Raw genomic sequence first — 15,800 nt, forward strand, 5'->3', positions numbered from 1 at the left:
AGCTGGGCATGGGAATTGTTAAAAGCTCCCCAGGGGGATTTGAACTTGCAACCCAGGTTGAGACCACTGAATGAGATTCCTGTGCAAACTCGGCCTGGCCTCCATTAAGGCTCCAGGGATGGCTGCAGCCTGGGGGTCAGATTAGCTCAAAGTCTGCACCTCCAGCTTTGGGAGAGAAGGAGGTGAGAGAAATAGTGCCCAGAGACAGGGGGAAGACCATGGGGAGAAGACAAATAAGGCTTTGACTACTCTATTCACAGTTCTTTTTTTTTTTTTTTTTTTTTTTTTTTGAGACAGAGTCTCGCTCTGTCGCCCAAGCTGGAGTGCAGTGGTACGATCTCGGCTCACTGCAACCTCCACCTCCTGGGTTCAAGCAATTCTGCCTCAGCCTCCTGAGTAGCTGGGATTACAGGCGCATGCCATCATATCCGGCTAATTTTTGTATTTTTAGTAGAGACGGGGTTTCACCATGGTGGCCAGGTTGGTCTCAAACTCCTGACCTCAAGTGATCCGCCCACCTTGGCCTCCCAAAATGCTGGGATTACAGGCGTGAACCAGCGTGCCCAGCCATATTCACAGTTCTGTGGCTGTCCACCCTGGTTGGGCTGCCTGAAGTCACTGCAGATGTCACTTGTCACCTGCTGGCCTTGGCTCCTAACCCCTTAGCACAGGGCCAACAAAAGCTGCGGTCCAGCTGACTGTGACTTCTGGGGCCGGCACCCAAGAGAACAGGCTTATTGGGTGTGGGAAAATGAAATGGGCTTCTGCAGACCACCAAATGAACACCTTATCTGGCATACAAAGGCTCAGGACAGAGGCCTAACCTAGGAGGCAGCAAAGTGGGCAGAAAAGACCTTCGGCTGTGGGGTGAGCAGCCCTGGCTGGCAGTCTCAGCTCTTCCAAGTACTAGGTCTGTTGCCCCGAGCAACTGGCTTAACCCTCAGACACTCCCCTCCTTTCCAAATTGAGAAAAATCACAGCCACTTTGGAGCTGCTGTGCAAGTAAACTATCTCCACGTACAGTCAGCGCTGGACACATGTTGCTCTGTTCCTGTCTAAAACACTCCATCCCTTTATCCAAGCTCCTGTCTCTCAAACAATTCCCATGCTTCTTGAAAATATCAGCTCCATGAGGCCCGGGATTTTTGTTTGTTTGTTTCCTGCTGTATCTTCAGCTTCTAGAACAGTGCCTAGCCTATATCAGGTGCTGTATACATATTTGTTGGCTGACTGAGAGCTCCTAGCAACGTGATGAAATGGGCTGTGCAGGTAATAATACCGTCATTCTACAAAATCACAAAAGGAGGCCAAGAGTATGTGGCTCTCCGTGAGTCACACAGCTGGTCAGTGGTGATGCCAGGAGTCAGTGACCTGGGCCTCTGGACACCTAGAGCCACAATGACAGAGCCAGATATGTGTGAGCCTGGGCAAGCCAGCAGGGATGAGAGACACCAGCCAAAACGCCAGGCTGCCCCCACGGCATACCAACTAGCTCTATCTATAGTTTCCTCCCAGCTGAGCTGCAAGGTCTGCCTCCTAATGAGCCTCTGCCTGGCAGGGGGAAGGTTTCCCTGCGGCTTACAAGTCCCGAGGGCTGACAGGCCCTGAGGGGTTTTGCCTTAAATGGACTTGAGTCAGTCCAACACTCAACTCTTCAGGAAGAGGAGCATCAGGGCCTCATCTGGGGCAGGCAGTGAGACTGGCAGCAATCTCGGCCCCCAGGTTGCACTGCGCAACACCGGGCAGTGCCGCGGTGACCGTGCCTCCCGTCTGAGCCTCAGCTTCTGCATGTGAATACCGAGAACGGTACGATGCCCTTCATCGAGGCCATCTGTGGAGATGCCTGATAGGGCGCCTGGCCCTCCTGGGAGCTCATCTGTGGCCGGATGCAAAAGAGAAGGAACTCACACATCAAGGGTGCCAGGCAGAAGTGGGAAGCTGCGGTGACTCCTTTCCTCTCTCCAGGTGAGGACTCCACACTCTTAACACCCTCTTAAAATCTACTCATTCAGCATCAAGGTGTGAGCAGCCTGACCCAGACAACTGTGGTTTAACAGGGACAAATCCTCAAGTCACAGAACATTAAGAGAGTAGGGCAAATTCCAGGAAGGCAGGGGAAGTGCTTCCTGTCATCACCCCACTTTACCCCACCGGAAGGCTGGCTTGGCTCTGATCCTGATGCCACTTCCTGTGACTTCAGCTCTGCTCAGCTAGGTCACTCAGGTTTGGCCTTGTGTGGACTGGACACATAGCAAAGGCAGGGAGACTCCAGGCCAGAGGGCCAGGCCAGAGGCAATTTCAACAGGAGGGAAATGCAGCTTCTCCTTACTCTGGCAAGTTATATAATATCTTCTCTTCTATTTCCCTTGTAAAATAGGCACAGCACTAGACCCGGCTCCTAGGGTTATTGTAAAATTTAAATTCACAAAATAAGATAACGCATTTAAACCAATTAGAATACAACTTGGTCCATGTCCTAAGTCCTCAGTAACTGTAATCGTATTACCTGGCTTCTACACCCATCATTCCGAGAACACTGCCCTTTCTCATCAGGCCCGGGTTCTCATCCTCCTGTACCTCTTCTCACAATAGGAGGGAATGATCCCTGACCGTGCCGCCCTCCTCTTAGTTCCCTCCTATCCCTCTGACCATCTCCTCTTCTTTCTTGCTCCTGGCCTCTGGCATCACCCACAGGGCCTCTCAGGGCACCAGATCTCTGGCCACCCCCCTCCTGGAGACCCTAGACTGCTGTCCCCTCCTGCTTTAGCGGTGCCTGGTCCACAGCTGCCTCCTCTCAATGTGGCTGAAACCAAGTTTACCTCTCTTTCCCCAACCTCTCAACAGCAGCAGCTCGTTTTCAAACAACAAACATAATCTTTATAACTTAAGAAGGATAATTTTTTTAAAAATGGGTTTCAGATAGGCTGTGAAAAGAACTGCGGAACACAAATCTGTGAGTAAGAATCTGGCTGCCGATCACACTGCCCATTTCTGTCGGTGGTGCCACCTTTTCCTGCCCTCAAACGCTGAACCATTATCCCTTCCCCTCTTTCACTCCCTTACCCAGGCAGGTACCAAGGCCTTTTGGGTCTTCCTCTTCCTTCTTGCTGTTCCCCTCTCCTCTCCCCTCTGAATTATTTGGTATTAAAGCCAGAAGGACGTTAATGCTTTGAGGACTAAAACCAATCCAAGCAGCTTCCCTACCTCTAATCAGAAAGCAGAACTGCCCCTAACCCCTGAGCAAGGTGCTCATTAGTAAGCCTCCCCCAGATGCACCCTGGTCACAGCCCTGTCATGCCATGTCTTGGCTATCTGGCAACAGTGCATAGGGATTAACAACACAGAATCTAGAGCCAGGCTGCCGGGGTCCACATCCTGGTTCTACCACCGGCTGGCAGCAAGACACTGGGCAAGTGACTTAATCTCTCAGGGCCTCTCTGTCTCCTTACCTGTAAAATGTGGCTAGCATCAGCACCTCTTTGCAATGAGCTAATTGTTGGGGGGATTAAATTAGTTCCTATACATAAAGCACTTAGAGCAGGGCCTGGCCCATGGTTAAGTGCTATAGGAGTCTTTGCTATTATCATGACCTGTCTGTCTCCCCACTGGCCTGGGAGCAACCTAAGAGGGAGGCTTGGGTCAATAGGCCCCCACAGCACCCAACACAGTGCCTGGGGCCTGACTGGCTTGGAAGACACGGCTGCTGAATTAAATCAACTACGTTCTGTGAGGCTCCAAGAGGTGTCTTGGAAGGAGGGGACAGTGGCCCCATTTTCCTGCACAGGGCCCTCCCCTGCCTACCCTGGAGGGCCTTCTGATACTGGCACCTCCTGAGTGTCTGTTGGGTGCGTGGGTTACACTGGGGCTGGGGGGCGGGGGGATAGGCCTGATCGTTCTTGGAGCCAGAGTGACATCCCTGGCCTCCTTGATTAACACTACTGTCAGTCACATTATGGAAGATCTGCTTCTGGACATGGGGGAGGGCCATCCTGCAGCGAGATGAGGCTAGGCTCTGCCTCAGAGTGGGAGGTGGGAGCCTGCCCCTCCCACCAAATAAATACCCACCTCCTCCAACGGCCCAGTGGTGAAGCCAGGCCTCCGAGCCCTGCTGCCCCTTTCACTGTCCCTGACAAAGCTGGCTCCTGCAACCCTGGGAGCTCCTCTCTAGAGATACAGGGTTGTGAGGGGTCAGTTGGGCCAGGGATCCCCAATTCCTTCTGCCCTGTGAGACTTTAACTGCCATACTCTCCCATCCCCCTACCTTGAATTTCCTCTCACTTTGTTTCCATCTCCCTTTATTCCCGTGCCCCTGTCCCCAGGATCCTCCACCCCTGACTTTCCAGCCTTTCCTGGGCCTTCTTTAGAACTCACTGCTCCAACCAGCCCGTCCTCTCACTGCTCCAACCAGCCTGTCCTCTCATCCCCTCACCCACTCTAGAAGCCCCAGGAGCCAGCTAGATGTGTAACAGAGGCTTGTTTGACTGCAGCGCTAAGACCGTCTTTGTTCCCAGTCTTATTTTGTGCACTTATTTATCTGTCTAAAATACATGTGCACATCTGTGCTGCCTGTGGTCAGACCACAGTCTCCCTAAAGATGGGAAGGCGACCCTGTTCGTTTAAATCCGCACAGCTAGAGGCGCCACGCTGGGACACAGGAGGCACTCAGTGACCACCTGTGGAACAGACTGTGGCTCTTCTGTCCCAGCCAAGAGGCAGGAAAAAGAACAAGCTCATGTCTCAAACTGGCAGCCTGGGGGTTTCTTCGGAGTGTAACAGGGGTGCCTGGAGGCCATTCATCTGCTGATCATCCCCTCAACATGCCTTTTCAGGCTCCCAGCTGCCCCAAGGTGTCTGGTTTTGTTTGTTTGTTTTCTTTTTTGTCTTTAAGGTTTTCTTTTTTTTTTCTTGAGACAGCATCCCAAGCTGGAGTGCAGTGGTGCAATCATAGCTCATTGCAGCCTTGAACTCCTGGGCTCACGTGATCCTTTTGCCTCAGCCACCTGAGTAGCTGGGTCCACAGATGTGCGCCACTATACCCAGATAATTTTTTTTAATGTTTTAATTTTTTTAAATTTAGTTTTAAATTTTTAAATTTTTTTTTGTAAAGATGGGGGTCTCACTATGTTACGCGGGCTGGTCTTGAACTCCTGGATTCAAGCCCATCTCAGCCTCCCAAAGTGTTGGGATTACAGGCGTGAGCCACCACGCCTGACCCCAGGTGTCTGTTTCGACACCCCAGTGCTCCTGTCGGAGTGGCCCAGAGGCCCAGCTTTCTTAGCTGTCCAGAGAGCCCTGCCCATGAGCCCCCTACCACCTCACCCACCTGAGCTGCAGCAATCACCAGGAGACAGGGATGGGTTCTCCTGACTCAACAGAAACCAACACAGTCTCACAGCTCCCATTTTGGGTGGTGGCCCCACTCGCTCTCTCGGCGCTTGCTACAATGTATAATTACATGTTTCCTTGTGTGATTATTGGATTAATGTCTGCCTCCCCTACTGGCATGTAAACACCACTAGGTTGGGTGAAGGGTGAAGACTGCACCCTGCTGATTTCCCAGCATCTAGCACAGTGCCTGGTACATGACAGGGGTTCCCTAAACATTTGTGGATGAGATGCTGAATTTGGTATTTTAGGCACAACAGAGCCTCGTTGTGTAGGTTGTGTCGTGTGAGCGTCAATGCAGTCCTGTAGAGTAGGCAGACATTTTAATACCCATTTTACAGATAAGGAAACTCAGGCTCAGACAGGTCAAGGATTGCCCAGGTTGACAGTGCTTTTTGGTCACAGAGTCAGAATTAGCAACCAGGTATCTGGTATCTACACTCAACAATCTACACTCAAATGATGATGAAGATGATAGCCAACATGTAATAAGAGTAGGCATATGTTAAAACAAAAAATCTAGCCTGGGCAACATGGTGAAACCCCATGTCCACCAAAAACACAAAAAATTAGCCGGGCGTGGTGGTGCATGGTTGTGGTACCAGCTACTCGGGAGGCTGAGGTGGGAGGATTGCTTGAGCCCAGGAGGTGGAAGCTGCAGTAAGCTGAAATCGGTGAGATGAGAAAATGTCCCTTCACTCCAGCCTGGGTGAAAGAGTGAAATCCCATCTCAATTAAAAAAAAAAAAAAAATCTGCCAGGCATGGTGGTTCACACCTGTAATCCCAGCACTTTGGGAGGCAGAGATGGGTGCATTGCTTGAGCCCAGGAGTTTGATACCAGCTTGGACAACACAGCGAAACCAGTCTCTACAAAAATAAAAAATTAGCTGGGCGTGGTGGTAGGTGCCTGTAGTCCCAACTATATTCAGGAGGTAGAGGTGGAAGGATCGCTTGAGCCTGGGAGGTCCAGGCTGCAGTGAGCTGTGATGGCGCCACTGTCACTGCATTCCAGCCTGGGTGACTGAGCGAGACCCTGTCTAAAAAAAGAGAAAGAAATCCCAGAAGCTCTTTGCACTCTACCCCGTTTGTTTATGGCAACTAGGCTGGCAGGATGTATCCCTAGGATCTTGACTCCCCAGTCTGTTGGCCAGGAATTGGGACCAGCTGCCTCTGCCTGCATCAACACCCTGCTTCCCTGCTGCCATCTGCTCCTCCACTGGGAACAATGAAAAGACAAGCTGCTGAACTCCAGGCCTGGGCACCCGGGACACCCATCTGGGTTTCCCTGGAATCCTGGGCACTTCCCATCCCCCTAACCTTGGGAGTTTCCCACCAGTGGGGATGCCAGACAGAGGGGAAAGAGGTGGGGCGGGTGGGGAGAAGAGGATCTGTGAGGCTGTGAAGAGGCAGACATTGCCGGGTGCAGCAGGGAAAGAGTGGAGGGGCTCACCAAGCCCCAGCCTGTGCAGGGCACCCCCTACTGCACAACTCCAGAAGGCCTCATTTCTACTGATGGGACTGACCACGTCAATATGAATGGGGCCACCCTCACTTGTGCTTGGGGAGGGCCCAGAAGCAGAAGGAAAAAAGAAGGGACATTTTCTCATCTCACCGATCGTAGTCGCCGTTGCAGAGGGCTCTCACGGGAATGGAGAAAGTTTGCCAGACTGGATTTAGGGTGTTCTTCATGACCTCGGTCTTGTGGCAAATGGTGAACCTGGTGAAGAAGAAGAGAGGGAAAGGCTGTCAGGCCCAAACCCAAGGGAGGCGAATGCAGGTCAACAGAGGAGTCAGCTGGTTCACATCTCTGGTTCCTGGACGACGGAAATGATGGCTTCAAAAGGTGATGAGCTGCCCATCACTGACAGCAGCCAAGCTGATACTAGGCGGCCATTTGCTGGAGATCCTGCAGAAAGGGTTCCTGTACCAGGTGAGGACCTGGAGGTGGGGACAAGTCCCAGGGTGTCAGGAGCCCTGGGTTCTAGCCTCTGCTCTGGGGCCACCTCACCGTGTGACCTTGAGCAAGCTCTCCCCTCTCTGGGCCTCCAGCTCCCCACCTGTAAACGCAGGCAGTTACCCTCTATCAAAGATTCTCCATCTGCAATTCACAGAAGGATGAGCAGATGAACCTCAGGGGTCTGTGAACCCCGGAAACACTAGGAGAAATTAGATGTATGGGTCATTTGTGCCTGCTGTTCCCCTGGCCTGGAATATTCTCTCCTCCGCTTCCATCTTTGTGACTCACTCCTCACTACCTTCAAACGCCATCTCCACGAAACCTCCCCTGACTACCGTATCTAAAATTGACAACTGCCTGGTCTCCTGCCTCTCACATCCCCTAGACTCCTCCCAGACTTTTTTTTTTCTATTTCATTTGTCACCATTTGACATTTTGATATAGTCTATTTTTTCCTTATTTATTCTGCTCATGGTCTGTCACTAAAATGTAAGTTTCATAAAAGCAAGGATTTTTGTCTCTTTTGATCACTGGCACATCCCTAGTGCCTAGAACAGTGCCTGGCACTTCGTAGGTATTCAATAATTCTTTTTAAATGAATCAATGTATTTCTTGGGGGGCGAGTTTCCATAGCTTTCACTGGTATGTCAATCCAATGAAATTAAAGCCCCTAACTTAGACGATCTTTAAGACCCTTTCTGCTTTTCCCATCTGAATCCATGAACCTGTTTTGCAAGCTAAAAGTTCAGAATTGACTTATCCCAGATGGGCCCGAATCTGGTGTCCCTGCCCATGCCCCACGCCATGCTTGGCTGGACCCATCCTGGAGGCCAGCCCTGCCACATGGATGGGCAGTCACTACCAGGGCTGAGCTGGGGGCAGGGGCGTCTCTCTGAGATCTCCCACAACCCGCCCCAGCTACATCTCTGGTTAGAAAGGTCACCCAAATAAGTGCCTGGGCTCCACCCATACCCACACAGCCGGTGTCATTTCTTCTTTGGCAATTTTCAAGTCAAAATGTCATTCTGTCACCATGGCTTAGCGTTTTTCTTCTCTGCTCCTTCTCGCCCACCCACTGGAGTGTGGAGATGCATGTGGGAGACCTCCCCACACACCTCAGAGCTGGTGGTGAGGATGGGAATGGGGATGGGAGCAGGAGGGGCCACAGCTGCCCCTGACTGGGGTAGGCAGGTGGGGCAGGAAGAGGAGCCTGGGGCAGTGGTGGGAGGGGAGCTGGAGGGACAACAAGGAGTAGGGAATGGGTGGTCCCAGAGGGATGGGGGATGATACTGTGCAGAAGCCCTGCTAGGCTCCAAATACCACCCCCCAACCGTCACACAGACCCTTGTGGACCCTCTGCAGCCTCCCATCTCTGGAACCACTGACTTCTCCCTTTCCCTCCTCTCGCTTGAGAGCCAAGCTTCACCAGGTGTTCTAAGTGATCAGGTACAGCTCCAGGGGCACAGCAGGTGCCTCCTTGCCTTGTCCCTCCTCCTGTGGCTGGTGTGACAGTTCCCTCTCCTGGCTCCCTCACTGACCTTCCTCCTAACTGGGGGTGTCTCTGCAGGCCTTCCACTCCTTTCCCGGCAAACCCTCAGTGACCACCCTGTTCTCACCAGCGCAGCCATCGCCCTTTCACAGGGGCAGGATACTGGCCCACCGCTAGGCGGGCCTCCGGATCAGTTTCTTCAGTGCCCCACGGGATCCCCTAGAAGGGATCAGTGTCTCCTTGCCCCCGGAATGCTCCAGCTCACACTTGGAATGAAACTTGCCCCCAAATAAACTCCCATGACCTCCCGGGTCTGATCAGACCAGTTCCCCTGCTGCTCTGCAAGCACTCTGGGTTTCCTTGGCTCCACTGCCAGGGAGAGGGCTCTGACTTTGGTCCCATCCAAGTCCGGCCGAGTGAGGTCCCCTCATTGTCCTTTTGCCCCCTTCCTCCCCTCCCCAGTTCCTTCCCCTGCATTTCCACGGCACAGCTCCAGGGTGGGAGCTGGTAGTACCTCCCACCTGTTCACCATGTCGGTCACGAGGCTCTCCCTTTCCCCGCACCCTCCCCACCCATCCTACACAGCGCTCTGCTAGAGCAATCTTTCCCAAGCACCCTTTGCAGTGCACCCCTCTCCTGCTCCCAAATCCCTCTCCTCCTCCCAGCCGGCCCCAGCCAGACAAGCCCAGCTTGACCCTGACTCTGCCTCCCTGGAGGGGGCCTGTGTGGACGCCCGGAACAATATGCAGGCCTTTTCCTCCCCAATATGAAGTCAAGTCAAAGTCAACAGAATTATTTAAAGAAATCCTTCTGGGAGTCCTTTGGTGAGACAAAGAATCCTTTTGTCATGCAAATGATCATACCTAATTTCCCTTGTTTTGTACGTTCAGGAAAACTGATTTTTAAATCAGTTTTCCCTTGAACTGAAACACACCTCCTCCTCGCTGCTCCCCTGCCTACCCCCCCCCCCACCACACACACACACACACACACACACACACACACACAATTTCAAGGGGAATTGGATTGGGGGGACGGTCTTTCTGCCCTCTGGGCACACTTGCTTTGCCCAAACGTTTCTCCCTTCTCTAGCCCTTTATTCTTCCCTGCTTCCCCCACCCCCATGGCAGGGACCCATTTTCTTCCTCTCCTTTAAAACCCGCTTCCAATTTTCCCTTCTCCAGCAGCGCTTCTCTAATTAACCTCCCTGGCCCCATCGCTTCCTCATTCTGCAGAATCCCAGCCTGTAAGTGGCCACAGCCTGCCAGAATCATGGTGCTTAAAGAGACTGTGGAGACCACATAATCCAACTGGTTCATTTTACAGATGAGAAAACAGGCCCAGAGAGGGGTCTTCACTTGCCCAGGGTCACACAACAGGCTGCTGGGGAAGACCTAGGTCCCCAGACCTTCCACCCAGAATCTGTCTCCCTGCATATATTACTGACCTACATTTGCCAACATGTTGTGTATGCTTCCATCTTATTGTGGGTGGCTTCTAGATTAGGGAGAAGAGAGGAGGAAATAGGGGCTTCAAAGTCTGGAGTTCCAAATGAAGCCTATGGCAGAGTGTGGGGCCGGGCAGCAGAAAGGGTCCAGACTGGCCCTGTTGTGTGGGCAGTAGCGGGGGGCCAGACTGGGGGCTGCTCAGAGGGCTGTGAGGACAGGGGGCTGGGCTTGGAGCTAGGAGCTGATTTGTGTAGAATGAAGGAGCTATCAGAGGTTTCCCATGAGGGACTGGCCCCCTATTCCTGCCCTAGCCCTGTTTTTGCCTAGTCCCCCCACCCTCCAAATACCTAGCTCCCACCACTCAGTACTATTGCTGAGACCCACAGAATGGCACCACCAGCTTAGAGGCTGCTGCCACCTCCCACCGACCACACCTAGGTGCTCAGGGCACTACCCTGGGGCCCCGGACTTCCACCCAGAGCCCTTGCCCTCTCTAGAGCAGAAGGAGATGGGCCCAAGCCACCCTGCCTGGCAAGTCACCACCACCCGTCCGTCCTTGACCCCAGAAGGGACGAGAAGGTGCAGTGCACAAGTGTCCCCAGAAAACTCACGTTCCATCCTCGTTGCTTCTGTAGAATACCAAGAAGGGGTCAGATTTCCCAAAGAAATCTTTCTTGTCCAGCTTGTTGGCACAGAACTGCATGGTGGCGACATCCTGGTGGGAGGGAGGGAGAACGGGGTGTGAGGCAGGAGAAAGTGGAAGCACAGCTCCCAGACCCCGGCAAGCATGAGGAGTCCAGGCACCAGCCCTGGTTGGAATGCACCGACTAAGTGCCAGGCCCTTATTCCATCCTCAGACGGCCCCCCAGCAGGCCTAGCAGACCACTTGGGTGGGGAAGCACATGGAGTCCACAGCTGCCCCAGTGTGAATCCTAGCTCTGCCACTTCCTCTGTGTGAACTTGGGCAAGGTAGGTGACCTCTTGGAGCCTCAGTTTCCCCTCTGGAACATGGGGTTGATGATAGCACACATCTCGTGGGGTTTTCATGAGGACTAAATGAGATCAAGTGTGTGACATACTTGGCAGAGTGAGGCACGTGGCAACCCCTTGATGGATGTGAACACACGTGGTTTCATTACACTTTCACTGAGTGGCTCGGAAAGGTGACATAGCAAACCCAAGGCCAGTCTGAGCTTGATCTGCAAGCCCCAAAGCCCTCTCTCTGGCCACATTGCCTCACCACCTCACACCTATGTGTGGTTCCTGGAGGAAGTTCGAGTTTTGGCATCACTTTCACACCCACCAACTCATGAGAGGCTCACCCAATGCTCTCAGGTAGATACAGTGGGGTCTGTGGCCCATTTCACAGCTAAGAAGCCAAAGGCTCAGAGCAGGGAGTGGCTTCCCCAAGTTCACCAAGCAGAGCCCACCTGCTGAGTCCCCAGCCCTGCTCCCTGCCCCAGCTGACCCAACACGCAGAGGTGTCCCGGCCCTGGTGAGGATCTCTGGACCCCTCAGCCCCTCAGCTCTCTGGGGCCAACGGGGCACTGGGCAGAGATGTCCCTGTTGTCCCCTTCACCCCTCCCGTGTGGCCTCTGCAATTTGAAAACTCTGCATCCTGACAAATCACCTTCGAGCCAGCTGAGCTCAGGGCTCTGTCGTCCAGACCCCAGGACTTGCCCTGCTCTTGGGGTCACTCCGCTCCCTCACACATCCCCCCTTCCTATTTTTTTTTTTTTTTGAGACGGTGTCTCACTCTGTTGCCAGGCTGGAGTGCAGTGGCGCCATCTCGGCTCACTGCAAGCTCCGCCTCCCAGGTTCATGCCATTCTCCTGCTCAGCCTCCCGAGTAGCTGGGACTACAGGCGCCCGCCACCACACCTAGCTAATTTATTGTATTTTTAGTAGAGATGGGGTTTCACTGTGTTAGCCAAGATGGTCTCGATATTCTGACCTCATGATCCGCCCGCCTCAGCCTCCCAAAGTGCTGGGATTACAGGCGTGAGCCACTGCACCTGGCCCCCCCTTCCTCTTAATGAGGGGGAGTGTCTTGAGAAGGGTGACCCACAGCCCAGTGAGGGCCAAAACGGTGGCAGAGAAGAAGACGTAGCTCCCATGAAGTTGAAGGACTCAGTGACAAGGTTCAGCGGTGGCTACGGTGGTTAGGAATACGGCTGCTGGAGCCAGGCTGCCTACTTCAGTCCCAATCCCATCCCTCCTTAGCTGCGTGACTTAAGGCAAGTTATTCACCCTCTGTGTGCTCAGTTTCCCTACTTATAAAATGGAGGTAATGGCAGTGCCCATCTCATAGGCTCGTGAGATAAAGTGAGTTAACAGGAGTACAGCGCTGTGTGCGTGTGAGCTGTTATTATTTGAACACCTGTTTCCCCGCCCAGCCACAGTGTGTGTGACCTCTGTCCCTGCCCCACTCCCACCTCCAGCACCTCACTTGCCTTCCCTCGGGGACATCTGATGACAACAAACACAGCCTCCATTCATTCACTCACTCACTCATTCATTCAACATTTATTAGATGCCGTCTGTGTAGGACAGTCACTGAGCTCAGCACTTTACACCCCTTATCATATTTAGTCCTCAAAATAATCCTTTGTTACTTTTTACAAATGAGGAAGCTGGAGGTTGGAGAAGTTAGGTGACCTGACCGAGATCACCAGCTGGTAACTGGTAAAGCAGAAAATTCACACATAAATAAACTAATTTCAAAGTCATGCCTCTTCCAGTACCACTCTGCCCCCCTGAGAGAGAACAAATTACATTTCACCACTTCCCTGTTTTCTTTAGAATCGGCTGATTTCTTCAGACTCTGGGCTTGCCTGGGCAGGGAGGGGCTGCATTCCGGTTACCCTGGGATGGGGAAGAGGCTGTAAGCACGGGTGGTGCTGGAGACAGAATGACCTGCCCAAGGAGGTGCCCAGGTAATGACGACTTTTATTATGCCTCTCATCATCGCCCACCAGACAGGGAGAAGGAAGCTGGACTGGGGGCTTCCAAGGCCCTAGAAGCTCCAAGAATCCTGGAGCCTCCAGAGAAATCTAGGACCTCAGGCCCTGAATAAAAGAACAGCTGACTTACTGAGCACTTACTAGATGCTAGGACCTGTGTTAAGCCTTCATACTTTATACAACCATACAAAATAACTCTTGTTTCCCTATTTTACAGATGAAGAAACTGAGGTTTTTAGAGGTTAAATCATATGCCTAAAGTCCTAGAGTGCATAACTCAGACAGTCAGATTTCAGAGTTTTCACTCTTATCCCTCCAGAAAAGTCCCTAGGCTTCTAAAGCAGCAGGGCAGGCACACCCTCCTCAGGAGAAAGTTCTAATCCCGTCCCATGCTGGATGGAAGGAACACTTTAAATGCCCCCCTAGGGAGCCCCATCCATGTCCTGGGACAGGGATGTGGCCCAGGACTTGATGGGCTACTCGCTGGCTGTATAAATTGTGGGGCCCAGAGCAAAGGGAAAACGTGGGGCCCCCTGTTCAAAAACAATCAGGAGATTCAAGATAGTGACAGCAGAGCATTAAACCAAGCACAGGTCCCCGTGTGACTACACAGGCCACACGCCTCTGCAGCTGGCCCTGTCTCCTTCCCACAGAGGTGACCCGCAGTGGCATCAGAAAACCACCAAGAGAGGCCCAGATTCCCAGGGGAGCAGCGGGGATGGCCCCAGCAAGGAACTCAGAGCTCAGAGCTCTAGTCCTGGCTCTGCATAGCCTTGAGCAGGTCACTCAAGCTCTCAGAGCCTCAGTTTCCTCGTCTGTGGAGCGTGGAATGGGATGACCACCACAATCCTTTTAAGCTGAGCAGTAGGTGCCACATGGGGAACACTGAAATAGCCATCTCTTGTGGGGAGCAGTGGCACTCAGGGGACAGTGAGAAAGCCAGGATCCCCCCAGCCTTCCCAGCCCTGGCCAGGGTTTGGTTGTCATCATCATGATCTCGCACGAATCTGGAAGTCGCCTGAGTGACATTCTTACCTGAAGAAACACAGGCAAGCCACCCAGGACCTGTTCAGCCTGCACTGGTTGACTATAAAATGCATACACTTGAAACAACCAAACAGAGGCCACAAAATCCAGAGGCAACAGCTCTTAGTTTTGCTTCCTAGGAACCCCTCAGGCCCTGTGAGATCAGGAATGGGGGAGAAATATTAGAAAAAATGAAAGAACTTGACAGGCCATAAGTTCCAGGGACATTCAGTGCTCCACTGGGAGGGCTGCTGTCTCAGCCTAGCACCCGATGGCGAAAAATGGCACAAAGGGACAGGTACAGTGGCTCATGCCTGTAATCCCAGCACTCTGGGGGGCCGAGGTGGTGGATCACCTGAGCTCAGGAGTTTGAGACCAGCCTGACCAACATGCCAAAACCCCGTCTCTACTAAAAATACAAAAATTAGCCGGGCATGCCTGTAATCCCAGCTACTTGGGAAGCTGAGGCAGGAGAATCGCTAGAACCTGGGAGGTGGAGGTTGCAGTGAGCCGAGATTGCGCCACTACACTCCAGCCTGGGCAACAAGAGCGAGACTCTGTCTCAAATAATAAAACAAAAACCAAAACACACACACACACACACACACACACACACACACACACACACACACACACACAAAACGGCACAAAGGAGCCAAGGGCCACCTGGTTGGAATCCTAGCTCTGCCACCTCCCGGCTGAGCAGCTCCTAGTGGGTAACTTAACCTCTCTGAGGCTGGGTAATGTAGAAGAATAGCGCCCCCTTGTGAGCCTGTGGAGAAGGCGAAAGGAGATGGCCTGTGTCACATCCTGGTCCACAGTGCCTCACACAGAGCAGGAGGTAACACTTGCAGAGTGCCACCTCATACTAGGGTGAACCATATGAAATTGCCAATAATCAGCTGTTGTTTGCCTATGAAAATGGCAATATAATATGGTTCTACCCACACAGGCACACAGAGGGGAACAACACACACTGGGGCCTATCAGAGGGTGGAGGGTGGGAGGAAGGAGAGGATCAGGAAAAATAACTAATGGGTGCTAGGCTTAATACCTGGGGGTGAAATAATCTGCACAACAAACCCCCATAACACAAGTTAACCTACATAACAAACCTGTACATATACCCCTGAACTTGCAGTAAAAGTAAAAAAAAAAAAAAAAAAAAAGGTTCTACCTAGTACGTGCTATAGTAGGTAGATATAATGTTATATGTATTAATTCATTGAATCCTTTCGACAACCCTATGAGGAAGGCACTGTTATTATTCCTTTTTTGTTTTTCAGACAGGTTCTCTCTCTCTCTCTCTGTCACCCACGCTGGAGTGCTGTGGTGCGATCTCCGCTCACTACAGCCTCAACCTCCTGGGCTCAAGCAATCCCCCTGCCTTAGGCTCCTGAGAAGCTGGGACCACAGGTGTGTGCCACCATGCCCCATGCCCAGCTAGATTTTTAAATTTTTTTTGCAGAGACAGGGTCTTGCTATGTTGCCCAGGCTGGTGTTGAACTCCTGAGGTCAAGCGATCTGCCCAC

The 15,800-nt window shown here is 52.5% G+C and overlaps 1 protein-coding gene across 15 annotated transcripts in view, besides 3 other annotated features; it reads right to left on the reverse strand.

The window, feature by feature from the left end:
* The window catches only part of CPNE5 (copine 5), a 99,224-nt gene that overhangs the window by 27,188 nt on the left and 56,236 nt on the right, over positions 1-15,800 (reverse strand). For all 15 annotated transcript variants that reach the window (XR_007059285.1, NM_001376889.1, NM_020939.2 and 12 more), the window contains 2 exons: positions 10,892-10,995; positions 6,999-7,103 (listed from right to left, as the gene is read on the reverse strand). Coding sequence is in view for 14 of the 15 variants with exons in the window: in NM_001376889.1 (NP_001363818.1) it covers positions 6,999-7,103; positions 10,892-10,995 (209 nt within the window). In the remaining variant the exon portion in view is untranslated. The remainder of the gene's footprint in view (positions 1-6,998; positions 7,104-10,891; positions 10,996-15,800) is intronic.
* Positions 706-1,237: an enhancer, noted in NCBI's record as "H3K4me1 hESC enhancer chr6:36736445-36736976 (GRCh37/hg19 assembly coordinates)". NCBI's record gives its function as "activates a minimal SCP1, AML or CMV promoter by ChIP-STARR-seq in naive H9 embryonic stem cells {active_cell/tissue: H9 hESC(naive)}" and the evidence as "EXISTENCE:reporter gene assay evidence [ECO:0000049][PMID:30033119]".
* Positions 3,956-4,455: an enhancer, noted in NCBI's record as "H3K4me1 hESC enhancer chr6:36739695-36740194 (GRCh37/hg19 assembly coordinates)". NCBI's record gives its function as "activates a minimal SCP1, AML or CMV promoter by ChIP-STARR-seq in naive H9 embryonic stem cells {active_cell/tissue: H9 hESC(naive)}" and the evidence as "EXISTENCE:reporter gene assay evidence [ECO:0000049][PMID:30033119]".
* Positions 9,196-9,904: an enhancer, noted in NCBI's record as "OCT4-H3K4me1 hESC enhancer chr6:36744935-36745643 (GRCh37/hg19 assembly coordinates)". NCBI's record gives its function as "activates a minimal SCP1, AML or CMV promoter by ChIP-STARR-seq in primed H9 embryonic stem cells {active_cell/tissue: H9 hESC(primed)}" and the evidence as "EXISTENCE:reporter gene assay evidence [ECO:0000049][PMID:30033119]".

This window comes from Homo sapiens, chromosome 6, assembly GCF_000001405.40.
Source record: "Homo sapiens chromosome 6, GRCh38.p14 Primary Assembly".
NCBI classification, from domain to species: Eukaryota; Metazoa; Chordata; class Mammalia; order Primates; family Hominidae; genus Homo; species Homo sapiens.